Source organism: Homo sapiens, chromosome 2 (assembly GCF_000001405.40).
Source record: "Homo sapiens chromosome 2, GRCh38.p14 Primary Assembly".
Taxonomy (NCBI): domain Eukaryota; kingdom Metazoa; phylum Chordata; class Mammalia; order Primates; family Hominidae; genus Homo; species Homo sapiens.
Genome location: NC_000002.12, coordinates 99343459 through 99370731, shown reverse-complemented (window position 1 = coordinate 99370731; position 27273 = coordinate 99343459). Strand labels below are relative to the sequence as shown.

At 38.5% G+C, this 27273-nt stretch overlaps 1 protein-coding gene across 1 annotated transcript in view; it reads right to left on the bottom strand.

The window, feature by feature from the left end:
• The window catches only part of EIF5B (eukaryotic translation initiation factor 5B), a 63938-nt gene that overhangs the window by 30595 nt on the left and 6070 nt on the right, over positions 1-27273 (bottom strand). Inside the window, exons 2-8 of the mRNA NM_015904.4 lie at positions 10371-10496; positions 10183-10267; positions 8912-9584; positions 6870-7087; positions 6311-6461; positions 2141-2239; positions 1251-1340 (exon numbers count right to left, since the gene is read on the bottom strand). Of these exons, the coding sequence (NP_056988.3) occupies positions 1251-1340; positions 2141-2239; positions 6311-6461; positions 6870-7087; positions 8912-9584; positions 10183-10267; positions 10371-10496 (1442 nt within the window). The remainder of the gene's footprint in view (positions 1-1250; positions 1341-2140; positions 2240-6310; positions 6462-6869; positions 7088-8911; positions 9585-10182; positions 10268-10370; positions 10497-27273) is intronic.

Genomic DNA, 27273 nt, shown 5'->3' with positions numbered 1-27273 from the left:
GAAAGTAAGATGACGGGTAGGACATGTGGTACCTGCTTCCCTGAAATAATCATTATTTACTAACAAGCCTGCATAAGTTATCTTGAGGAGGAAATGAGACTCAGGTACCCAAAACATCCATCTAAATTAGCAATTCTTTCTGGTGCTAAAAATACGATCTAAAATAGTGGACTGCTATTAAGCATATCAATCTAAATTTCTCTAATCTCGTCATATCAGTGCTAGGCTGAGGTCTACCCAGGTGAGATGATCCTATTCGCTCAGAAGAGAAAAGAGAAAAAGAAGGAAAGGAACTATCAATAATATAATTCACCAATGTAAATCAGGCTTAGTATTCTGTAAAGGCTTTTCCCATTCCTGATCCTATCTTTAATCGCTGGGGATTCTCTTGAATACCAAACATACATTTAGGCAGCCCCAGCTCTCCCATCAATATCTAGTCGTAAGAGTTAGAACAATGTTTTTTTTTTAAAACCAGAGATTTTTCCCCAACTCCTCAACATATACACAGATACCCCACAATGAGTAAGTTGAATTCTCTGATTATTGTAAATAGAAGCCGACCTTTAGGAAGGTCTAAAAATGCCAATTTTTATGGTTCTTAAAAAGTTCTAGTTAAAAATCCTTCCAATTTGCTTCTGAAGCATTAAATGAAGACCTTCAGATCTTTTTTTGAGATTTCTGACTCATAAATAAAAGCATCAGAGAAAATCCAAAACCTACTATCCTTTCTTCCTTTTTTTTTGAGATGGACTGTTGCTCTGTTGCCCAGGCTGGAGTGCAATGGTGCAACCTAGGCTCACTGAAATCTCCCTGCAACCTCTGCCTCCCAGGTTCAAGCAATTCTCCTGCCTCAGCCTCCCAAGTAGCTGGGATTACAGGCACCCGCCACCACCCCCGGCTAATTTTTTGTATTTTTAGTAGAGATGGAGTTTCACCGTGTTAGCCAGGATGGTCTTGATCTTCTGATCTCGTGATCCATCTGCCTCACCCTCCCAAAGTGTATCCTTTCTACAAAACATTTTCTAACACTGCTGAAAAGAACACAACTGATTCAAGTCTCACTTGGATACTTATTCAAAGTAGAAATGAAAAGAAATAGAAAAGAAAGAACTATGAAGAAAGAGGGCCATCCAGCCAGATACTTATTTGGTTCTCCCCAATTATTTATAATAACTAAGACAACTTATGACACACCAACACTATTTAATAAGAATTCACTAATTAAATAATCAGATAACACTACCCGCCTGGTTCAACAGGAGGTGGTGTCTCTTCCTTTTCTGGTACTCCTTGTTCCATAACTTCTACAGCAGCACATAATTCCATTGATTCAGACACTGAAAAAGGGGCAGAAACCAAGATAATATTTTTTTTGGTGTATAATTTCTGTTAAGATACTCCATTAAGTACTGAATAAAAAACAGTAGTGTAAACCTATTTATTTTTTATTTTTTTGAAATGGAGTCTCGCTCTGTCACCCAGGCTGGAGTGCAGTGGTACAATCTCAGCTCACTGCAACCTCCACCTCCCGGGTTCAAGCAATTCTCCCTGCCTCAGCCTGCCAAGTAGCTGGGATTACAGGCACCTGCCACTATGACAGGCTAATTTTCTTATTTTCAGTAGAGGCAGGGTTTCATCATGTTGGCCAGGCTGGTCTTGGACTCCTGACCTCAGGTGATCCGCCCGCCTCAGCCTCCCAGCGTGCTGGGATTACAGGCGTGAGCCACTGTACCCAGCCTGTGCAAACCTATTTCTTCAAGTTTAGAAAATGTTTAAATATAGTCATATGTTTTACAGGAAACTACTCTTTCTGCTCAATAAATAAAATACAAAAATCACAGAAGGCTAAGAAGGAAACCAAGAAAAGATAAGAATGGTAGTTTTACTTCTCAGAGTTAACAACAGTTACAATATTCATAGGGTAGAACCCAGATTTTTCAAAGTAAAATACTTTTTCCATTAGCTTGTCATTTGAATCAAGTGAGAATAATGGCATTAATAAGAAATAAGTTTAGAAAATAAGTTTCAATATGCATTTCGGATTTTTTCCTTTCTTCTTTACAGACACTGTTTTGAAGATTGTGGGGGAAAGGCAAACAACATATTTCCTAAATTAGAGGCTATTTTGTATACAAACCTTCTTTACTTTCTAGCTGCTGTGGTATTTTTTTCCTCTTTTTATCTTCATAAATTGGCCTCTTCTTTGGCAAAGAGTCTTTTGATGGCACTTCAACACCTGAGGGATAAAAATGAAAAACTTCAGGCTTATACTACTTGCATGTCACCTGAGAAGTACTATTTAAAGGATAGCATTTCATTCACCACAGAGACACATACCCTAAAATATGAAAGGATATTCATGGAAAAACTTGTATCTTTTACATATAAGGTATTTTAAAATTTACATACAGTAAAAATCCTCGTTTCACATACAGTGAGAGTTTTGATACGTGTATCACCATCACAATGAAGATGCAGAAAAGCTCCATCACTCCATCATCCTGTGCTGCTCCATGTAATCAAACCCTCCTTACCTTCTTAGCCTCTGGTAACCACTGATCTGTTCTCCAACCAAAAGATTTGCTTTTTCTAAAATGTCACATAAATGGAATCTTACGGTCTGGCCTCTATCATCATAATGGATTTGAGAGTCACTCACTCTGCTGCACATGTCAATACTTCGTTTACTTTCATTGTTGGGCAGCATTCCATTGTATGGATATATCAGTTTGCTTATCCATTCAACAGCTGAAGGACATTTGAGTTGTTTCTGGTTTTTTGCAATTATGAATAAAGCAGGTATGAACATTTTCAGACAGGTTTCTGTGTGAACATTTCTCTTGGGCAAATATTTTGTAGTGTGAATGATGAAACATAAGGTAAATATGACCTTAATTTTTATAAAGACACTGCCAGTTGTTTTCCAAAGTGGCTATACTATCTTGCATTCCCACCACTAATGCAGAAGAGTTTTGGCCAGGCGCAATGGCTCACGCCTGTAATCCCAGCACTTTGGGAAGCCGAGGTGGGTGGATCACCTGAGGTCAGGAGTCCAGGACCATCCTGGCCAACATGGTGAAACCCCATCTCTACTAAAAATACAAAAAATTGTATTATATAAAATATATATATATTGTGGTGGTGGGTGCCTATAATCCCAGCTACTCAGGAGGCTGAGGCAGGAGAATCACTTGAACCTGGGAGGCAGAGGTTGCAGTGGGCTGAGATTGCGCCACTGCAATCCAGTCTGGACAATAGCGAAACTCTGTCTCAAAAAAAGAGAGAAAAAAAAAAAAAGAGTTTCAACTGCTCTGAATGTGGTAAAGGTTTCTCTTTTTTTAGAACATTCTTTTCAGATGCGTATAGCTTTCTGGTGAAAGTGTCTGTTGATACCTTTTGCCCATTTTTAAATGAACTTATTGGTTTTCTTATAGTTGAATTTTGAGAGGTCTTTATATATTTTGGATGTTAATTCTTTCTCAGATATCTGACTTGGAGGTACTGTCTTGGAATTCTCTTGACAGTGTCTTTTGCAGAGAAAAGTTCTGAACTGGTCTTTCTCAAAATGTATCTTTTTTCCTTTTATGGTTTAGAGTCCTATCTAAGCACTCTGCCTAACACAAGATATCCTCCTATGTTTTCCTCTGAAAGTATTATTGTATATTTTACATTTACATATGATACCCATTTGGGTCAATTTTTATACAGTGGGAATTAAAACTGGTTTTGGGTTTTTCTGCATACAGATGTCCAATTGTTCTAGTACCACTTGCTACAAATACTGTATTTTATCCACTGAATTACCTTTCACCTATATACTAACCATGTATAGACTATTTATCTGTTTGTCTATCTTTCTGGCAATATCACACTGTATTAATTCCTATAGCTTTATACTAAGTCTTGAAATCAGGTATTCTAAGTTTGTTCTCCTTTTTCAAACATATTTTGGCCATTCTAACTCTCTGGTCTCTTCATATCCATTTTAGAACTAGTTGACAGATAGCTACAAAATACCATGCTGTGATTTTGACTGGGATTGAACTGAATCTACAGATTACTGGATTACTGACTCAGTCTCTCACTATGGGCAGAAGCCTTAGAATAAAGACAACAGAAATTGTATACCATGGGATTTTGAATGAAGTCACTAATAAAGGAAAATGACTAAAAATGTTATCTCTAACGTAGGAATGTATATGGATGTGTGTTGTGCATGTACTGAAGAATGGCTAGAATGGTAAAACCATAGCTATGACTGGTAAGACGAATACATTAAACAAACCAAAGAAAGAGGATAAAGCCAGCTGAGAATGCAGAGATCATCACTTTAAGTTTTCCTTGCCTAGCAGCCTACACCTACTAAGATGAAAAGCATGGGCCTGAGGGGAAACTGTAGGCTGGATTACCTGAAGGGTGGTCCCAATAACACCCTAGACTTAATCAACTGACTACTGCTCTAGTCTCAGACTCTCAAATAAGCTGCTGTACTTGGAATCAACACCAAGACTTGTATGTGTTTAGACATTCCATTCACTTTGCAAACTGAGACATAACAATCAAGTTCTTGAAGAAGCTCTTTGCCTGAAATGAGTTTATTACAAATTATTGATAAAGTACTCATATATGTGTGTGTGTGTATATGCTTAGTAGTCACAGGCTAAAGGATGACTGAAAAGTTAACCTGCTGCACATTTCAGAGCAATTATATGAAGACACCTGCAGATGCCTACACTCTCTGAGAGTACATTTTTAGCTCAATGAATAAGTTTTACAATATTCTAGGTAATAAATGTGGTAAGCAGCTGTCTTTCAAACATACGATGAAACAACACTGTAGGATCTTTTAATGAGATGACTCACATGAGTGGGCTGTGGGTGGGGGGGAACCTTGAATGTCAAGCTAAGGAATTTGGATTCTTATTAGTAGACAATAGGGAACTAATAAGATGGTAAACACTGGACAACACTATGAAGAGTAAGAGACCAGCGTCAGGGATGCCACTTGAGAGAGCATCTCTTACAAGCCTAATGCTAAAGACTGATGCTAAAAGTCCACCATTCTACACTGTAATTTCCATAACTACAAGTCTAACTGCTCCTTAAAACAGCATTTTTGAGACTGGCAAATTACTCCCTGCTTGGTCCCATCTGAATTTCTTCATGGGTGCTTTTAGCCTCTCCAATAGTCACCAATGAAATCTGATGTATGAATGCTAACTATATTCAAGTTTGTACCTAATTTCATTTAAAATTTTACAAAAGCTATATTCTCCATTAAGAATAAAACTTTCTAAAATCTAAGTACTGGGTTTCTTCACATCTAATGTTCCTAGCTGAACATATGCGTAAGAAAAAGTTGCACAGACCAGCTTAAATTTCAGCTCTGTGGCCTTGGGTAAGCTGTTTACACTCTGAACCACCATTTCTTCATCTATATGATGGAAGTAAAAATAGCTATAAGATTTTTTTATGAGGGAAAAATAGACAATGTCAAAGACATTGTAGCATCAGTTACACACTAAGCACACAATAAATGGTAGCTATTACTGTAATTATAGCATAAACACCAAAATGACTGTAATATAAAAATCTAGGGAATATAGGAGCAGGAAATTTAAGAGAGGTCCCAATATATTCTTCTCATTGGAGCAAAGACACTATTTTAAATCACCTTACCTTTCAAAAAAGTAATAAATTATATGCCCAGTTGTGATCTCTAAACACTATTACCCTCTAAAAGGAACAAAAGCTCTTTGGATAAACAACCGATTCCAGGTCTCAGCCCATGCAAGATGAACCTGGGATATCTTGTTGCATCAGAAAGTAAGGAAAGGGTTAAAAAAAAATGGTCATGAATACTTTTTCACCGTGGTCATGTGGGCAAACTAATATGCTGTCTGGGAATCACTGTATTTCTTTTTTATTTTTTGGGATTCACTTTAAAACATGCTAGGATAAAAAGTAGATGGAGAGGTACAAAACAAGAATGTCAAATGGTCCTAATTGTTGAAGCTGGCTGATAGGTACACAGGGACTCATTCTATTATTATCACTATTCTTGTTTGTGGGAGGATAACTTATTTAGACATACTATCATTTACATATAAATTTTTATCCTCATGTAGATGTCATCTTCCTAAACAATGAAATGACATCACCTATTCCTTACGTTTTACTGAACTTTTTCACAGATTTTTCATAGGAACTGTCCTGATGCAAATTCCATTCTCCTTCTGAACATTAAGGGATATAACTGCATGTGCAGAGCTCTCTGACCATTCAGTTAATGAAGAGTACCACTCACCCTGAGCTTGTAGCAGTTTAAGAGTAGCTTCGGCTCTGGCTCTGGCTTCTCTCTGGGATTTAGTTAAAAGTTTCCCTTCTTTTTTCAAGCGTTCTTTTCTTTCTTTTTCTTTTTGCTTTTTCCTTTCTCTTTTTTCTTGTTCCAATCGTTCCTATAAAAGAGTACATGTCAGACAAAACCTGTATTCATTTAATGAACTATAAAATTCAAATGTAAACAATCCAAACTTCAAATAAATCTCTTGAGACACATGCAAAGTATTATGTTAGGAGATTCCAAATCAAAGTATTTTAAATGTTATACATGATTATTAATTAATATCACATCAGATTATTGGCAATGATACATAAGCAACTTATGTATCGAGCAATCTGTTCTTGAGAAAATAAAGATAAGATGTGCTGTACCTCTTCATCTTATTATTTGTATCGGAACAATAATATAACTGAATTACCATGCAACTATGAAATTTTCAGAATTAGAAGAGTAAAGATATTTTACAGAGAATAGATTTTAAGTTAAACACAATATCAATGTTACCAACTTCATGAAAACATACCTCTTCTTTACGCTTGGCTTCTAATTCTTCAAGCCGTTTTATACGTTCTTCCTCTTCTCTCTTCTGTCTTTCTTCTTCCTCTTTAAGCTTAGCCAGAGCTTCTTGCATAGCTTTAACAGTGGCTTTGCTAGGTCCTTTTTTCTTCTCTTTCTCTTTTTCTTCCTTTTCTCCTTTCTTTTTCTTCTTATCTTTCTTCTTTTTGTCTCCTTCATTGTCATCTACCAAAAAGAATAAAGGCAAAGCATTGAAATGAAAAAACAATTCCCTGTGGTGATGACGAGCAAAACCCAACCACAATTCAAGGACCATAATGGGCCAAGGCCGATGCCAGCAGCAGGCTAAGTTCTACAGGCATCAAGGCATCCTGAGCACTTTGGTAACTAGAATAGCTCAGAATAACTCACAGATGGCCTCCTGAGAAGTCTGCAATACTGATGTTGGTCTCAGATGTCCTGAGGAATACAGTAAGACAGAAGGATACTGTCAGCAGCAAAAGGGCAATCCTGTACCTAATGTATCTCTAAATCCATGGTACCTGAGTGGCTGGTGTCCAACAGATGCTTATATGAAGTTCTAACAATCAGAATGAACTAACACCCACGTAAGTTCTGTAGCTAATTTCACTTCTACAAGATGGAGTTAATGAGAATGATGTCCACTTTAGGGGGTATTAGTAGGATAAAATACAAAAATATAGGTAGTTATACTCCAAGAACTCTAAAGAATTAAAAGCTATGAAGGTACTTTCATGGTGTTCCTCCTCGAATATATCCAGATAATAAATATGCTAGCATTTAAAAAAGTTGCTGGGCACGGTGGCTCACACCTGTAATCCCAACACTTTGGGAGGCTGAGGTGCATGGATCACCTGAGGTCAGGAGTTCGAGACCAGCCTGGCGAACATGACGAAACCCCATCTCTACTAAAAATACAAAAATTAGCCGGGCATGGTGGCGGGCTCCTGTAATCCCAGCTACTTGGGAGGCTGAGACAGGAGAATCACTCGAACCTGTAAAGAGGAGGTTGCAGTGAGCTGAGATCGTGTCATTGCACTCCAGCCTAGGCAACAAGAGTGAAATTCCGTCTCAAAAAAAAAAGTTGTGTCAATTTTCCCATTAAAAGTTTTCCAGTCAAAAGAAAAACTACTGCTTTTGTTGGTTTTTTGAGACAGAGTCTCAGTCTGTTGCCCAGGCTGGAGTGCAGTGGTGCGATCTCCGCTCACTGCAAGCTCCGCCTCCTGGGTTCACGCCATTCTCCTGCCTCAGCCTCCCGAGTAGCTGGGACTACAGGCGCCCGCCACCATGCCCGGCTAATTATTGTATTTTTAGTAGAGATGGGGTTTCACCATGTTAGCCAGGATGGTCTATATCTCCTGACCTCGTGATCTGCCTCAGCCTCCCAAAGTGCTGGGATTATAGGCGTGAACCACCGCGCCCAGCCCAAAAACTACTGTTTTAAGAATATAGTATGGCCATGCAAACCATCTGATCTTTAGCTATTTTCATTCTAAATAAGAGGAAGAAATTAGCTAGAACTTTTATTTTATAATTGGTTGTTAAAAAAATGGCTCATTATTGCTTAAAAGACACTAATTTTAGCATGTTGAGTTTTAAGTGAAGCAGAAAATATTAGCAACTTCATGAAAACATTTCTTTGTGAATTTCATAAATTGAACTAGGTTTTTAAAGACAGGAAAGAATTCAAATATTATCTGACACTGAGTTATCAGAAAGGAAGAATAAATTTTTCATTAAGTAACTTCTATAGCCTTTATCAACAGCAAAAAAAATAGTTTTCATAATGCAATTCTATAAAAATTCCAGTCTGTACATAAATAATCTGAAAGATATTTATACTATATATGTAAAGAATTAACAATGCAAATCAAGTCAAATACTTAGACGTAATTTTTTAGATGGCTCCTTACAATCAAGTGTCTTTATACCCATGGACAAATAACAAAACGACCTTGGGGCACAATGATTACAACTTATACTGTGAATCAAAAGCCTTTTGCTCTTTCCTCTAAAGTATTAACCAACCTTCTGCAGCTGTGGGAGTCTCTGCTTTCTCTTCAGAGGCAGGAATTACTCCAGTATCAACAGTCACTTTGGATTTTACAGTTTCTTCTTCAAATTTCCTTTGAGATTCCTTTTGTTTACTCTGATCCTTTTTACCTGTTTCTAACTCTTCTTTTTCTTTCAGCTTCCGCAGTTTCGCTTTTTCTTCATCTCGCTTTTTTCTCTCGCGCTCCTTCTTTTCTGCCTTCTTTTGGGCCACTGTCTTAATTTTGAAGGAGGCGTCATCATCTTCATTCCCACTTTCTATGTTAGGACCTGGCTTGTTTTTCTGATTTTTTTTCTGTCCTTTTCTAGATTGCAAAAATTCATCTGATTCATCACCACTTTCACCAGAAGAATTTATTCTTGAACGCTCTTTAATTTTTTTACTGTTATCCTCATCCTCCTCTGACCCATCCCACTTCTTATTTGATTTTTGAGCTTTCCCTTTAGCTTTTTTAGGAAGTTTGTTAAAATCATCATCATCATCACTCCCAGAGTACATTTCCACTTTCGGTTTTGCAGTCTTTTTTGATTTTGAATCTTTATCTTCCAATTCTTCGCTATCATTATCATCAAAACTCTGTTTTTTGCCCTTCTGTCCTTTCTTTTTTTTATCTTTTGAGGTGAATTCCTCTTCATTGTTTTCTGTTGGCTAAAAAATTTCCATTGTTAGAAAAAATTAACAGAATTATAATTGAGACCAGAGTCATGTGCTTCATTAAGTAAACATTTTTTAAAAATCTCAAAATGATTTCAAAATCTTTTTCAAAGTCTTTTTCACAGGAATATAAAATTCAAACAAGCAAGAGAGGTTGGCCTTGGCCTCAGACACATCTCGCATCATTGTAAATTGCAGAATCCAGGGGCTCTTGAAACAGGCACTAGTCACCACCCATTTACTAACTTTACAAAGCCTAAGGGACAAGTTGAAAGAAGAAAAAATATCTATGATTTTCCCATTACTCTGAGGCTTATCCAAATTCGAAGGATGAAAAAGAAACAACAGAGAAAACTGAAGATGGAACGAGTGATTACATCACAACTCCAAATGTACCAATTTTATGAACAATCAACATACCACAAAATACCTTTACATTCCTATTTTTCCCTTTGACATCAGATTTCATAGAAGCTTTTAAATAACATATTGTACACTGCTCAAAAGTTTCCAAATGTAGCTCCCCAAACCAACATTAAGAAGAAAGAATAGAATACGAAATACGAATAGGTAACAAAGGTCTGTCTTTCACCTTCACTGCAACAGTTTCTCTGTCAGCTTTGATGCCTTGAGCTTCCAAAGACAATTCTTCCAGTTCTTTCAGGATATCATCTTCACTAGAAAAGGATTAAAATACATTGTGAAGCACTGGTATAGTTTTTATTAAGTGAATCCAGTACCAAAACAAATAAAAATCAAATATATTTAAAATATACTTACTCAAAGTCCTGCTTTTTTTTCTCTTTTTTCTTTTTCCCTTTTGACTTTTGAGGCTCCTGTTCTTTGGCAGCACCAGCTCCTTCTATTTCTGCAGCCAAGGCATCAAGATCAATGTCATCCTTGGTGCTTAAATGAAAACAAAAACATCCTAAATGCTACTTAAAAGCAAAATAATCATTCATTTATATAGATTTTATCATTTTAACCTTTTTCATGCATTAGCAGCACAATGAGAAAAATCATTTGGCAAGTTCTTTCATTACAACACAAGTTACATCTACTTATCAGCCTCCCTACATCTGCTTCAGTGAAGTTTCTGGATTACACTCAAATAAGGAACAGATAATGAAAAGCTCCAGAAAAAAATCAGGGTAATCAAGAAAAGGAAATTAACTTTTACAGATACCAAAGGTTTTTTGTGCGTCTGAATGAAGTTATTTATAAAATGGGAGATCTTAAAACATAAAACAAGTCTTATTTCTCGACGATCAATAACAACACCTAAATATTTGGATCCCTGTGCATTTTTACTTGGAATAGCAGAAATTTCAGAGTTGGAAGGAAGTTTAGAGATCAGTCACCTAGCCTATTATCTCATTTTACCAATGGGAAAACTAAAATGCACAAGGATTGAATGTCCTGAGAAAAACATAACCACACATTCAAATCTAAATGAATTAGGAATGATTCACTAAATAAAATACTTAACCAAAAATCCAGAACTAAACCTGCTTGCTCCTGGTTTCATTTCTGGATCCATCCAACAATGTCGTCACCTACCAACTTACTTGGAGTAAACCAAATTAAGTTCCAGCTAAAACCTACAGAAAATGAAGGCAGTCCAGTCTAAAATGTCCAAGTAGCAAAGGCAGATGAATCCAAATGAATGGCACAGTAAGAAAACAACTCATGTAATGTGGCCTTTATAATGGACACCTTGTAAGAGATGCTTTAGTTCAGTAAAGAAAATTTCTTTTTTTTTTTCCTTTTTTTGAGACGGACTCTCACTCTGTCGCCTAGGCTGGAGTGCAGTGGCGTGATCTCGGCTCACTGCAACCTCCACCTCCTGGGTTCAAGCGATTCTCCTGCCTCAGCCTCCCGAGTAGCTGGGACTACAGGAGCCCGCCACCATGCCCGGTTCATTTTTTTTTTTTTGTATTTTAAGTAGAGACGGGGTTTCACCATATTGGCCAGGCTGGTCTCAAACTCCTGACCTTGTGATCAGCCACCCTCGGCCTCCCAAAGTGCTGGGATTACAGGCGTGAGCCACTGCTCCCGGTCTCAGTAAAGAAAATTTCTAAAGAGAAGTAACTTTCAACCATATTATAAATATAATTAAAAGATTATATGACAAGACATTGAGGATATAGAATTTAGCCTTAAGGCGCTTAATAGGGAAGACAGCAAACCAGTAAACCCCAAATTGCAAAATGTTAAATGCCTTGAAGTAAAAGAACTTAATGCTTTTATAAATAGTTGGCCAGAATTGAAATGTGCTCCTTTTCTTCCTACATTTTAGATAATTTGACACTGATCTGCTGCAGTGGTGGTGACTTCCTACAGTACCAAATCCAGAATGGGAAAGTCAGAGGCACCTTATTCTTAGTAAAAGGGGTACACATACCAGACACAGTAAGTACAAAAGCCTAAAGGCAACAAGGTGTGTTATGCCTCAAGAGGGCTCACAAAAGGCATCTGAACCACCCAAGAAATGTTTGAGCATTATGTATTTATTGACCCCACCCAAGATAGAGGGAACCAGAAACTGAGGGGGAAGCCAGGCAGTATATTTTTAGCAACAATATTTCCAGGTGATTGTGTACCAGATCTGAACACTGTCATTCTTCTTCCTTTACAGATGAAGTAACTACTAACTGAGGCACAGAGAATCTGCCCAGGATCACACGAGTCGGAGATATGGGATTTGAATCCAGGAAGTCTGATTCCATAGCCAGATGTCTTACTTCTGCTGACATAATCCAATTTGTATTTTAGGCCTGGATGCAGTGTCTCACACCTGTAATCCCAGCGCTTTGGGAGGCTGAGGCAGGCAGATCACTTGAGCCCAGGAGTTCGAGACCTGCCTGGCCAACACTATGAAACCCCGTCTCTAAAAAATATAAAAAAATTAGCCAGGCATGGTGGCGCATGCCTCTTGTCCCAGCTACTTGGAAGGCTATGGTGGGAAGATTACCTGAATCACCTGAGCCCAGGAGGTTGAGGCTGCAGTAAGCTAGAATTGTGCCACTGAGTAAAACCCTGTATATATATATATAAAAGCATTTTAGAATGCTACATCTGGTACAATGAGTGGCAGGGCTGAATCCTGACTAGTCAGGAAGCAAGGAGACCAGTTAGGAAGCTTTTGTAGTAACTGTAATGAGAAACAATGAGCACCTGACTTGCACCAGTGGCAGGCAAGATGTAAATGAGTTAGATAAATATTAAGGGAATAGAATCAACAACACTTAAGTGGTCAACAGGATGAATATAGAAAGGAGTAAGGAAGAATCAAGGACAATTCTCAGGTCTCTTCAGGTAACAAGAACCTAAGTCTGCCCTAGCATCTCCCAGGAGTATCCCCAAAGGCATCTCTGGCAACATTTCACACTACAGCAGCTTCTGACAACTGCATGAGAAGAGAAGGCTGAAGTTTGGCATCTCATTTCCAAAAATTTATCGGCCCTCACCCAAACTATATTCACCTCATCAAAATAGCTTCAAGAATCTTCTTGTGATTAGCTATATTTCTGGAGAATTCATCAATAAACATCTCTAGGATAACAAAGTATAGGACTACATTTGTACATTATTAAGTCTGAAAGGCTTTTTGTGACTAACAATATAAGATGAACAGTTTTTTAATATGCTTATATTCAGGCATTGTGCTGACCAATGCCTAGACATAATATATACACTGTCACTTAATATTCATAACAATTACATAAAATTATTCTTAAAGATGGTAATTTTTTAAAGGCCACCAGCTACAAAGTAGCATACCAGGAATTCAAGCCCAAATTTTAACACCAGGTTCTACTGCCTTCCTAGAAAATGGGAAATGATCTAGTTTTTTACTTGCTTGAAAAATTCAAACATAGCTATGAAATTCCTACAGTTTACACAGAAAGGCAAAAGACTTAGCATAAGTCAACATAATACTGAAGAACAAAGCTGCAAGCCTCATTACTCAATTTTAAGATTTATTATAAAATTACTATCAAGACAGTGTAGTACTGGTGAAAGAAGAGACACACAGATCAAGGCAACAGACCAGGCAGCCCAGAAATAGAGCTCTGAGGATACTAGTATTAAAATGAAAACACTAACCACAGACTGAAAGAGATATTTGCAAAGCACTACTAGCTGAAAGACCTGTATCCCAAATACACAGAGAACTCTTAAAACTCAACAATAACAACCCAATTAAAATGTGGGCAGTCACCTTGTCAAATTAGGGGCAGGGGGAGTAGATGAAAAATGTTCATCATCATTTGTCACTGGGGAAATGCAAATTAAAACAAAGAGATAGTGGTATATACCTATCAGAGTTGCTAAAATCCAAGAAACTGACAATACCAATTCCTGGTAAGAAAGCAAAATGGCTGATTCTGGGGCAGGGGCTGGACACAGACAAAACAAGCCTGGAGCACTGTGTAATGGTAGGAAGTAAGGAAATGATTTAAAAACAAAAAACAAACACACAAACAAGAAAATGCCAAAACACACGAAAACACACACACACAATGTTGAGTCTATGACAAAGGGACACATGAGCCAACTGAAAGAGCTCCCAATGGGCAATGGGAGCAACAAATTAATATGTTAATTAATTAGAAGAACAAATTAAGTAACAATATTAAATTATAAGCTAAAGTATGAAATAATTCCACTAGTCATACTATTAGAGAGAAATGATTAAGTAAATAAATGGGGAAGAGACAAACGTGTGCAGAAGAAAGCTAAATATGCAGAATCCCATCCTCAAGGAGGTGGAACATAATTTTCCACTCCTAAACTATGAGCTGTGTACAGTGATTTCATTCCAAAGAGTACAATATAGAAAGAGGAAGAAAAGAGTAACATTATAATGTAGAAATCTGACAAACACAGCCTCAGCCAAGTGATCAACATCGACATCAGTGATATAATGAAATCTGAGAAACTATCACAGATAAGACAAATCTAAGGATAAATGCTGACTAAATGTAATGTGGTATCCTGTATAGGACCCTGGAACAGATACAGGACAGTAGAGAAAAACTAAAGAAATCTACACAAAGTATGCACTTCGCTTAATAATATTGATTCGTTGACTGAAACAAGTGTACCATGCTAATATAGTAATAACAGAAGAAACTAGGTGTGGGGCACATGGAGACTCTGTATTATCTTCACAATCTAAAACTTCTACAAATTAAAGTTTATTTTTTAAAAACTGAGCAGGGAGGCCGGGTGCAGTGCCTCACGCCTGTAATCCCAGCACTTTGGAACGCCCAGGCAAGTGGATCATCTGAGGTCAGAAGTTCGAGACCAGCCTGGCCAACATGGTGAAACCCTGTCTCTACTAAAAATACAAAAATTAGCTGGACGTGGTGGCACATGCCTGTAATCCCAGCTACTCGGGAGACTGGGGCAGGAGAATTGCTTGAACCTGGGAGACGGAGGTTGCAGAGAGCTGAGGTCACACCACTGCACTCCAGCCTGGGCGACAGAATGAGACTCTGTCTCAAAAAAAAAAAAAAAAAAAACCCAAAAAACAAAAAAACAAACAAACAGAAAAACTGAGGGGGAAAAAACAATCATATTACTTATAGTTATTCCAAAGAAAGTAACATACTTAAATCTAACAAAATATGTAAAGTACTTATATGTGGAAAATTACAAAATGCTTATGAAAGAAATCCAAGACTTGACTACGTGAAGAGACATGCCATGTTCATGGGCTATAAGACTCAACACAGTAAAGATGACAATCAGCCCTAAAATGATATACAGGTTTAATGCAATTCCAATAAAAATCTCAGCAAGATTTTTAGGACATAACCAATAGAGACAAGGTTATTCTAATATTTATATGAAAAGGCAAAGAAACTAGAATAGCTAAACCAATTTTGAAAAAAGACTAAAATGTGAGGAATCATACTACCAGATTTCAAGACTTAAGCAAAGCTCTTGGTACTGGCAAAGGAATAGACACAGATCAAGACGAGAAGAGAGAGAACCCAAAAACAGTCCCACAGAAGTATAACCATTTAGGCCCAGGCGCAGTGACTCACGCCTGTAATCCCAACACTTTGGGAGGCCGAGGCAGGTGGATCACTTGAGGTCAGAGTTCAAGACTGGCCTGGCCAACATGGTAAAACTCCGTCTCTACTAAAAAATACAAAAAGTAGCTGGGTGTGGCGGCAGGTGCCTGTAATCCCAGCTACTCAGGAGGCTGAAGCAGGAGAATCTCTTGAACCCAGGAGGCAGAAGTTGCAGTGAGCTGAGATAGCACCACTGCACTACGGCCTGGGTGACAGACGGAAACACTGTCTCAAAAAAAAAAAAAAAAAAAAAAAAGTACAACCAATTAATTTTTGACAAAGGTGCAAAAGCAGAGGGTAGCCTCTTTAACAAACAGTGCTACAGCAAATGGACACCTATCACACAAAAATGAACCTCACCCTCAGTCCTTATCCAAGAGTGAACCCAAGATATATGATGTACTTAAAAAAATAAATAAAAGCATAAACTTTTAGGAAAAGAGTAAAATATCTTTCAGATCTAGCACTAAGCAAAGAGTTAAGAGTTAAGACTTGAAACTAAAAGCACAATCCAAAAGAAGTGGAACTCATCAAAAACTTTTGCTGTGAAAGACTATGTGAAGGGAATGAAGAACAAGCTACAAAATGGGAAAAAATATTTCCAAATCACAAGGATTAACAACTAGAATATACCCAAAACTCTCAAAACTCAACAGTAAAATAAATCCAAACAATCCAATTAAAAAATGGGCAAAAGGCATAAAAAGACATTCCACTGAAGATATACACATGGCAAATAAATGTTCACATCATTAGCTATTTGGGAAATGCAAATTAAAACCACAATGGGATATCACTACATACGAATCACTACATACCAATGAGAATGCCCTCCTCCCCCATAATAGTGATAATAACCAATACTGGTAAGGATAGAAAGGAACTGGAAAATTCATACACTGCTGGTAGAAATATAAAATGGCAATGCCACTCTGGAAAACAGTCTATCAGTTTCTTGCAAAACTAAAAATGTACTTACCACATAACCCAGCAACTGCATTCTTGCACATTTATACCTAAATAACAAAAATTTATGTTCATGGAGAAATCTGTAGACAGAAGTTCATAGCAATTTTATTTTCAATAGCCAAAAACTGGAAACAACCCACATGTCCTTTAATAGGTGAATGGTTGAATAGACAGTGGTTCATTTCCATTCCATGAAATATTATTCATCAATAAAATGGAATGAACCATTGATACATGCAACAACTTCGATAGATCCCAAGAGAATTAGGCTGAGTAGAAAGAAGCCAACCTCAAAAGGTCATATATATACTTAATTCCATTAATACAACATTTTTGAAAGACAAAAGTTTAGAAACATACAAGACACCTGAGGTTAGAGACAGGTGAGGGGTTGGGGAGGTGGGTAGGGAGTACAGGAAGGAGATGGTTACAAATGTACAACATGAGAGATTTTTGCACTGATATTCTGCATCTTGACTGTGTAATGGATATACAGACCTACACATGTAATAATATTGTACAGAACTAAATATATAAACACACACACAAACACAAAGAGTACAAATGAAACTCGGCAAACCTGAATATAATCAGTGGATTGTATCAATGTCATTATCTGTGTAATGGCTGGGCACAGTGGCTCACGCCTGTAATCCCAGCACTTTGGGAAGCCGAGGTGGGTGGATTGCTTGAGCCCAGGAGTTCTAGATCATACTGGGCAACATGGCGAAACCCTGACTCTACAAAAACTACAAAGAAATTAGCCAGGCAGGCCAGACGCGGGGGCTCACGCCTGTAATCCCAGCACTTTGGGAGGCCGAGGCTGGCGGATCACAAGGTCAGGAGTTTGAGACCAGCCTGGCCAATATGGTGAAACCCCGTCTTTACTAAAAATACAAAAATTAGCCAGGTGTAGTGGTGTGTGCCTGTAGTCCCAGCTACTCAGGAGGCTGAGGCAGAAGAATTGCTTGAACCCAGGAGGTGGAGGATGCAGTGAGCTGAGATCATGCCACTGCACTCCAGCCTGGGCAACAGAGTGAGACTCCGTCTCAAAAAAAAAAAAAAAAAAAAAAAAAAAGAAGAAGAAGAAAAAATTAGCCAGGCATAGTGGCATGTGCCTGTACTTTCAGCTACTCCAATGGCTAGGGTGAGAGGATTGACAGCCCAGGAGAGGGAGGCTATGATGAGCCATGATTGTGCCACTGCACTCCAACTTGAACGACAGAGTGAGACCCTGTCTCAACTATATGAATCTATAATAATCTTGAAATAAAAGTTTAACTTTAAAAAAGACACTGTTAACAAAATAGGCCAGGCACAGTAGCTCACGCCTGTAATCTTAGCGCTTTGGGAGGTGGGTGGATCACTTGAGGCCAGGAGTTTGAGACCATCCTGGCCAATATGGTGAAATCCTGTTTCTACTAAAAAATAGAAAAAAAATTAGCCAGGCACGGTGGCACATGCCTGTAATCCCAGCTACTCAGGAAGCTAAGGCACAAGCATCACTGTGCTCCAGCCTGAGCAACAGAGCAAAACTCTGTCAAAAAAAAAAAAAAAAGACACAATTAGCAAAATGAAAAGGCAAGACAGGCTGGGCACGGTGGCTCACACCTGTAATCCCAGCACTTTGGGAAGCCAAAGCGGGTGGATCACCTGAGGTTGGGAGTTGGATACCAGCCTGACCAACATGGCAAAACTCCATCTCTACTAAAAATACAAAATTAGCCAGGCATGGTGGCGCATGCCTGTAATCCCAGCTACTGAGGAGGCTGAGGCAGGAGAATTGCTTGAACCCAGGAGGCGGAGGTTGCAGTAAGCTGAGATCATACCATTGCACTCCAGCCTGAGCAACAAGAGCGAAACTCTGTCTCAAAAAAAATGAAGAAAAGAAAAGCCATGACAAAGAGTGAGAGAAAATATATGCAATACATATATCTCATAAAGGATTTGCCTACAAAGAAACAACACAATTTTTTAAATGGGAAAATGATTGAACAGACACATAACCAATGAGATGAAAGAATGACAAACACATGACAAGATGTTATCACTAATAAGGAAGCATAAATTAAAACTACAATAAAGGCAGGGTGTGGTGGCTCACACCTGTAATTCCAACACTTTGGGAGGCCGAGGTGGGCAGATCACATGAGGTCAGGAGTTCAAGACCAGCCTGGCCAACAAGGTGAAATCCCGTCCCTACTAAAAATACAAAAAAAGTAGCTGGGCATGGTGGCTCGTGCCTGTAATCCTAGGTACTCAGGAGGCTGAGGCAAGAGAATTGCTTGAACCTGGGAAACAAAGGTTGCAGTGAGCCAAGATCACGCCACTGCACTCCAGCCTGGGTAACAGAGTGAGACTTCGTCTCAAAAACAAACAAACAAACAAAAAAAAAACACAATGATATGTCACTACACAGCCACTAGAAATCCTAAAATTGAAGATTGGTAATAATACCAAGTGTTGAGACTGGATATGGAGTAACTGGAGCACATACATCCCTAGAGGGAATGCAAAAATGGCACAGTCACTTTGGAAGAGAGTTTGACAGCTTCTTGTTAAATATACACTTACCATACGACCCAGCAATCCCACTCCTAATCCCACTCCTAGGTATTTACCTAAGAGAAATGAAAATACATGTCCACACAAAGACTTATACTCAAATGTTCATTGCAGCTTTACTCGAAATCAGGAAAAGCTGGAAACAACCCAAATATCCATCTACCAGATAATATATAAACAGATTGTCATATATCCAGGCAATGGAATAATACTACTGGGTAACAAAAGGGAAGTACTAATGCTACAAGCACTAACATAGATGAATCTCAAAAGTATACTGTACTAAGTGAAACCCAGTCAGCCAAAAAGGACTATGTAGTCTATCATTCTACTTATATGAATTTCTAGAAAAGGCAAAACTACAGTGACCAAAAATAAAACATGAAAACTACAGTGACTACTGGGCTCAAGTGATCCACCTGCCTTGGCCTCCCAAAGTGCTGGGATTACAGTGGTGAGCCACCATGCCTGGCCCTTTTATCCATTTTTATAAGTTACAAAAATAAGAACAAATCTATAATCTTTTTCTAGTATCTTAATTTCTATTAAACACAGTAATGTGGAGTTAAAATGATACTTAATGAAGGAGTCTTTTAAAAACATTTTATTCTTTATTTCTTCATTCTCATCTCACCACTTAACAAAAATCAACTCAAAATGAACTACTTAAATGTAAAATCCAAAACTATGAAACTATTAGAAGAAAACAGGAGAGACACTTCATAACGTTGTTTAAGACCTCAAAAGCTCAAGCAACAAAAGCATAAACCGACAAATACAATAAAGGAAACAACCAACAGAGTGAAGAGACAGCCTATAGAACGGGAGAAAATATTCACAAACTATATATCTAACAAGGGGTTAATATCCAGAATACATATGGAACTCAAAACAACAATAGCAAAAAAGCAAATAATCCAACTAAACAATGGGCAAAAGATCAGAATACACATTTCTCAAAGGAAGACATAAAAATGGGCACCAGGTATATGAAAAAAACATCAGGGAAATGCAAATCAAAACCACAATGAGATATCACACCTTAGACTAGCTTTTACAAAAAGACAAAAAATAATATGGTGAGAATATGGAGAAAGGAGAACTATTATATACTGTGGGGGGAAATGTAAATTAGTACAGCCATTAGAGACAACAGTATAGAAGTTCCTCAAAAAAACAGAACTATCATATAATCTAACAATTCCACCATTGGGTCTATATAGCCAAAGGAAATGAAATTGCTATGTTGAAGAATATTTACACTCCCACATTTACTGCAGCACTGTTTACAATAGCCAAGATGTGCAGTCAACCTAAATGTCCATCAACAGATGAATGGATAAAGAAAATGTACGTCTACACAGTGTGAATACTATTCATCCATAAAAAAGAATGAAATCCTGTCATTTTGTGACAACACATATGAACTTGGATGTAATTATGTTAAGTGAAAGATGCCATATATGGAAAGACAAATACTGCATGATCTCATTCATATGTGGAATCAAAAAAAGTTGATTTCATAAAAGTAAAGAGTAGAATAGTGGTTACCAGATGCTGGGAAGAGTAGGAAGGAGAGGGAATGAGGAGAGGTTGGTCAAGTTACAGTTAGGAGAATAAGTTCTGGTGTTCTACTTCACAGTAGGATGACTATAGTTAACAATAATGTATTATACTTCAAACAGCTAGAAAAGAGCATTTGGAATGTTCTTATCACAAAGAAATGACAAGTGTTTGACGTGATAGATATGCTAATCATCCTGATCTGATCATTACACAATGTATACAGATACCAAAATATCACATTGTACCCTATAAATATGTACAATTATTATGTGTCAAGAACAAAATACAACTTGTATTTTTCCAGTTGTATAAAAACAGTATTTCTTTATTGTGTGTGCAGGCATGTACTCAACTTTGGAGTTTGGCTTTTGGAATTAAATAAAAATCATACATAAAAATAAAAAGTAAGACAAATACTTCATCTTGAGACCAATGTAGTAGAAAGCCTTTTAAAGACACATATTACAAAAAATTGTTCACTGCAAAGTAAAAGGAAAATTAACCTCATGTACAAATCTCCTCTCAATTCCAAACTTAGCAAATTTCATTTGATAATGACAGGTATTTTCCACTGAAAACTTGTGTAATGAATGTAAAGTTAGACAAGAAACACAGGAAATTCAACTCCTTTCCAAATTATTCCACACTTCAAAATCTCCAAGATGTCTAAGACTCCTTTTTACCAACCTCTCTTCTCCAATGCCTCTTTACCCACTGCAGAGGTTTTAAAACCTGGCACAAAATATCTCTGACACTCTTTGAGAGGTGGAGGTCTATCTCCTTTAATGTGGGAGTTGTATGACTGCTTGCTAAATAGAAGGATGCAACTTTTGTTATAGTTTCTAGGCCTAGGCCTTAACCTGGCAGCTTCCTGTCTCTTGGAATGCTCACTGCCAAGCTAATGGGGATGTCCAGGTCAGGAGGAGAGATCAAATAGAGATGCTCCAGCTGACAACTCCAGCTGATTAAGCCCAGTCAACCTCCAGAACCATGAAAGATAATCACAAGTTTTCTTGTTTTAAGCCACTGTTTGGGATGACTTGTTATGGTACAATAATAACCGAAGCACCCCCATATTTCTTCCTATTCCTAATCAATACCAGGACCTATAGTAATGGACAGCATGTTGGTAGAAGTGTAAAATCCAAACTACACCACTCCTTCCTCCGTCCCCATCCCCAAGTTGATGGACAAATTGTCCAAAACCTCAAAGTATTAAAGGAAGGATAAGTCACATATAACACTGTTGCTGCCCTTTTTCACTTACTTTGGCTTCTGCCCCTCTCCGCCAAAACTCTTAATAATAGTAAACAAGAAGAGCATAAGAGGGAATCCTTCTCTTTATTCTTAACTCTATCTCAGCAGTAACAGCTGCAATAAGAGAAACCGGGAAATTCAGTCCCACCTTCTCTACAGGTTACCTTCTGACATCTCATTTCCCCAGTCTTCATCTTCTTACCCAGAACATCTTTGATCATCAACAGTTACATACAAAAAGAGGAAAAACAAGACAAAAGAAGGGAAAGCCCAGCAGTCATTGCTCCTCAGTGGCCCCCACCACTTATAACCACAAATCTTAACAGTTTTCACTCTCAACTCTCTTAATGAAGTTATGGCTCAAGTACTACAATCAATAAGCTGAGAACTAGCTATGTCTCAAAAGAAAACCCTCCCAGCTTACGATGTCCTTATGAAGTCGTGACTCCTTTAAAAGGGATATGAAACCATACTGCTACTATATTATACAATGCAATGCAAAGGGTATGTGTATCTTATCACCTTCTACAAAATTCAGCCTAACCCTTTATTTTCTAAATATCTGATACATTAATTTGATAAGAATACAAATCTTGTAGACGCCCCCGATACACATACCCTAAGTTCATATGTATTATAGATTCCAGTATGTCTAACTATCAGATCAGTACAGCTTTTACAAACTGGATTAAGTGGGGAGGAACACAGAGTTGCAGGGATTTCAGAAGCTTCAAAATTCTCTAGCAACTTCTGTTTTACCTGTTTTAAATTTTAATTTGATAATAAAGATTTAAGATGAATACAGACAGCCACTTTATCACAGTATACTGTCATAGAACAGCAACCCAAGGTTTTGTTTACAACCCCTACCCCCCAAAATTGTTTCCGGTTGATGAAAAAGATCAGATGCACACTTACTAGGTAAATTAAACCTTTTTGTCAAGAGAAGAATCTGTCATGTAAAGCTCAAAATCACTAGTTCAAATAAAAAAAAAAGTATCAGAAGAATTGAGCTCTTGCTAGTTCAGGCATGCTGAACTCAAAAGAAATCCATTGTAAGAGGCAATACATTCACAATGAAAATGGTCATTTAGATCCTACTACTCAAAGTATAGTTATAGGACAAGCAGCATCAGTATCATCACCTTATTGAAAATGCAAAATCTCAGGCCTGTTAAAAAAAAAAAAAACTGAAAAATGCAGAATCTCAGACCCTCACCCCAGATCTACTGAATCAAAATCTCCATTCTAACAAGATCCCCAGGTGAACAAAGTTTGAGAAGCCCTGATTTAGATTCAACAACGTGGCATCATCTTTCAAATCAATACTGCAGATTGGAACTTTACAAAATTTTATATTTGTTACTATTTGATATAAGACTATTTGGGGGCCTGGCACAGTGGCTCATGCCTGTAATCCCAACACTTTGGGAGGCCAAGGCAGGAACATCACTTGAGTTCAGGAGTTCAAAACCAGCCTGGGCAATAAACCAAGACCTCATCTCTACTAAAAATCAAAAAAATTAGCTGGGTGTGGTGGCATGCGTCTGTAGTCCCAGATACTCAGGAGGCTGAGGTGGGAGGGTCACTTAAGCCCAGGAGATCAAGGCTGCACTGAGCTATGATCAGACCACTGCACTCCAGCCTGGGCGACAGGGTGGGATTCTGTCTCAATAAAATAAAATAATAATAAAAAAAGAATATTTTGGGTTTCATAATTACAGAGATACAAGTTTATATTTAGGATTATGTCTGCAGATATATATAATATTGATAAAAATTCAGATCCACATTCTCAATAAACACCTTAAGATACAACTTATATGGGCCAGGCGCAGTGGCTCACACCTGTAATCCCAGCACTTTGGGAGGCCGAGGCGGGTGGATCACAAGGTCAGGAGATTGAGACCATCCTGGCTAACGCGATGAAACCCCGTCTCTACTAAAAATACAAAAAATTATCTGGGCGTGGTGGCGGGTGCCTGTAGTGCCAGCTACTCGAGAGGCTGAGGCAGGAGAATGGCATCAACCCGGGAGGTGGAGCTTGCAGTGAGCTGAGATTGCTTGAGACACCTTCTCAAAAAAAAAAAAAAAAAAAAAAAAAAAGAGATACAACTTATGTTCTAAAATAACTAATCACATGGTAAGTGCTCAAAGCAAACTCAGTCTCTGTACTCCATAGAAGTTAACTCTGATCCTTAATCACTGTTAAAGGATTTTCCCCACCTAACTTGTATAGTGCCTGGCACTCTAATATTAATAAATCATTAATATTAACAAACTAATAATTACTAATAAATTTTAACAAAAAGTTTTATGTAGACAACCACTCTCAAGACCAGATTTCTGAATAACCAATTTGGTGAACACCATCATTAGAATGGTCTGGCTGCACCTGTGTACAAAATTATTGGCAATACAGGAGCAACTGAAGATCTCAAATATTCCTCATGGTCACCCTTGGTACTCTAGAGACACAGAAACACACAGCATACTCCCATTCCTTCCAATCTGCACGCTCTCTTGATGGCAAACTTAATTAGAAAAGGATTTTAAAGATGCATAAACAATAACTTTAAGAGGCAAATGTGAAATCTCGAGGGTGGTACTCTCATACTCCATTTTCTCCCTTCAGCACTTCACTCTGTATTATCTGTGCATATGCCTATTTGCTATGTTAAAACGTAACTCCCTTTGAGAACAGCAAACTCCCTTTTGTATTCCCAATTCACCACATTTTTTTTTTTTTTTTGAGACAGGGTCTAGCTCTGTCACCCAGGCTGAAGTGCAGTGGCACAAACATGGCTCACTGCAGCCTTGACCTCCCAAGGCTCCAGCAATCCTCCCACCTCAGCCTCCTGAGTAGCTGAGACCACACGCACACACCACCACACTCAGCTATTTTTTTTAGGGGGTAGAGATGGGGTCTCCCCACGTTGCACGGGCTGGTCTTAAACTCCTGGCCTCAAGCAATCCTTCTGCTTCAGCCTCCCAAAGTGCTGGGATTACAGACATGAGCCACCGCACCCCGCCCACCTACCTATGTTCTACAAGTGGCAACCAGAAAGGCATGTTAGACATTCCTTTTTTTTTTTTTTTTTTTTGAGACAGTCTCACTCCATTGCCCAGGCTGGAGCGCAGTGGTGCAATCCTGGCTCACTGCAACCTCCACCTCCCGGGTTCAAGCAATTCTTATGCCTCAGCCTCCCAAGTAGCTGGGATTATAGGCATGCACCACCACACCTGGCTAATTTTTTGTATTTTTAGTAGAGACGGGGTTTTGCTATGTTGGCCAGGCTGGTCTCCAACTCCTACGCTCAACTGATCCACCCGCCATGGCCTCCCAAAGTTCTGCAATTACAGGCACGAGCCACCACCATGCCCGGTCGCATGTTAGACATTTCAAATAGGCACTAATAAATAAGGAAAAAGTCCTATTCTGGAGTGGCAATCACGACTCTCATACAACAGGCAAGGCTAACCAGTTTCAACACAGCAGTTTAATAAAAAACACGTCTAACACTATAATAATTACTGTACTTTTGATCATAAAACTTCCAAATGGAATTTTCTGAAGCAATAAATTGAAACGCTAGTTTAAATGCCTCTGAAAAAGTACAATGACATTTCATTTATCTGACAACACAGACAACGATTCCATTGTATGTGAATTTTCCAAATGAATGAAATGTACCACTTCTAAAAATTTATATTTAAGATATAAATGTTTCTTATAATACATTATATAATTTCTTGAAATATTTACAAATGTCTGAGGTTGTATCAAGATAATGGAGAAAAGAAAGGAGGGGGCAGAATACATATGAAATGAGATTTATGAATGAATTTGAACCTGGGTGATGGACACATGTTTGTTCATTAGACTATTCTACTTTTGTATGTGTTTGAAATTTTTCATCTAAGGAAATTCACACCACAGTAATCAAAACTGTGGTGCCGGCTGGATGCAGTGGCTCACATCTATAATCCCAGTACTTTGGGAAGCTGAAGCAGGTGGATCATTTGAAGTCAAGAGTTTGAGACCAGCCTGGCCAACATGGTGAGACCCTGTCTCTACTAGAAACACAAATATTAGCCGGGCCTGGTGGCGCACACCTAAAATCCCAGCTACTCCGGAGGCTGAGGCAGAAGAATCCCTTGAACCCAGGAGACGGAGGTTGCAGTGAGCAGAGATCACACCACTGTACTCCAGCCTGGGTGACAGAGTGAGACTTCGTCTCAAAAAAAAAAAACCCAGAAACAACAACAACAACAACAACAACAACAACAAACTGTGGTGGCAACACTGACACAGACATACAGACCAAAGAAATAAAACTTAAAGTCCGGAAATAAATCCATATATCTAGCATCTAATGATCTGACAAGGGTGCCAGAACCTTTCAATAGGGAAAGAAATCTTCTCTTCAACAAATGGTATTAGGACAACTAGATATCCACATATAAAAGAATGCAGGCCGGGTGCGGTGGCTCACGCCTATAATCCCAGCACTTCAGGAGGCCGAGGCGGGCGGATAACGAGGTCAGGAGATCGAGACCCATCCTGGCTAACATGGTGAAACCCCGTCTCTACTAAAAATACAAAAAAACTAGCCAGGCGTGGTAGCAGGTGCCTGTGGTCCCAGCTACTCGGGAGGCTGAGGCAGGAGAATGGCATGAACCCGGGAGGCGGAGCTTGCAGTGAGCTGAGATTGCGCCACTGCACTCCAGCCTAGGCGACAGAGCGAGACTCCGTCTCAAAAAAAAAAAGAATGCAGATGAACCCCTACATCATACCACATACAACAATTAATTCAAACTGGAACAAAGACCAAAATGCAAGAGATAAGGCAATAAAAGTTTTGTTTTTTTTTTATTTTTAGAGATGGAGTCTCACTCTGTCACCCAGGCTGACGTGCAGTGGTGCAATCTTGGCTCACTGCAACCTCCGCCTTCCAGGTTCAAGCAATTCTCCTGCCTCAGCCTCCCGAGTAGCTGGGACTACAGGCGCGTGCTACCACACCCGACTAATTTTTGTATTTTTAGTAGTAGGTTTTGCCATGTTGGCCAGGCTGGTCTCGAACTCCTGACCTCAGGTGATCCACCCACCTCGGCCTCCCAAAGTGCTGGGATTACAGGCATGAGCCACTGTGCCCGGCCAGCAATAAAACTCTTAAGAAAACATACAGGTAAATCTTCACGACCCTGGATTTGGCAACAGATTATCTCAGATACAA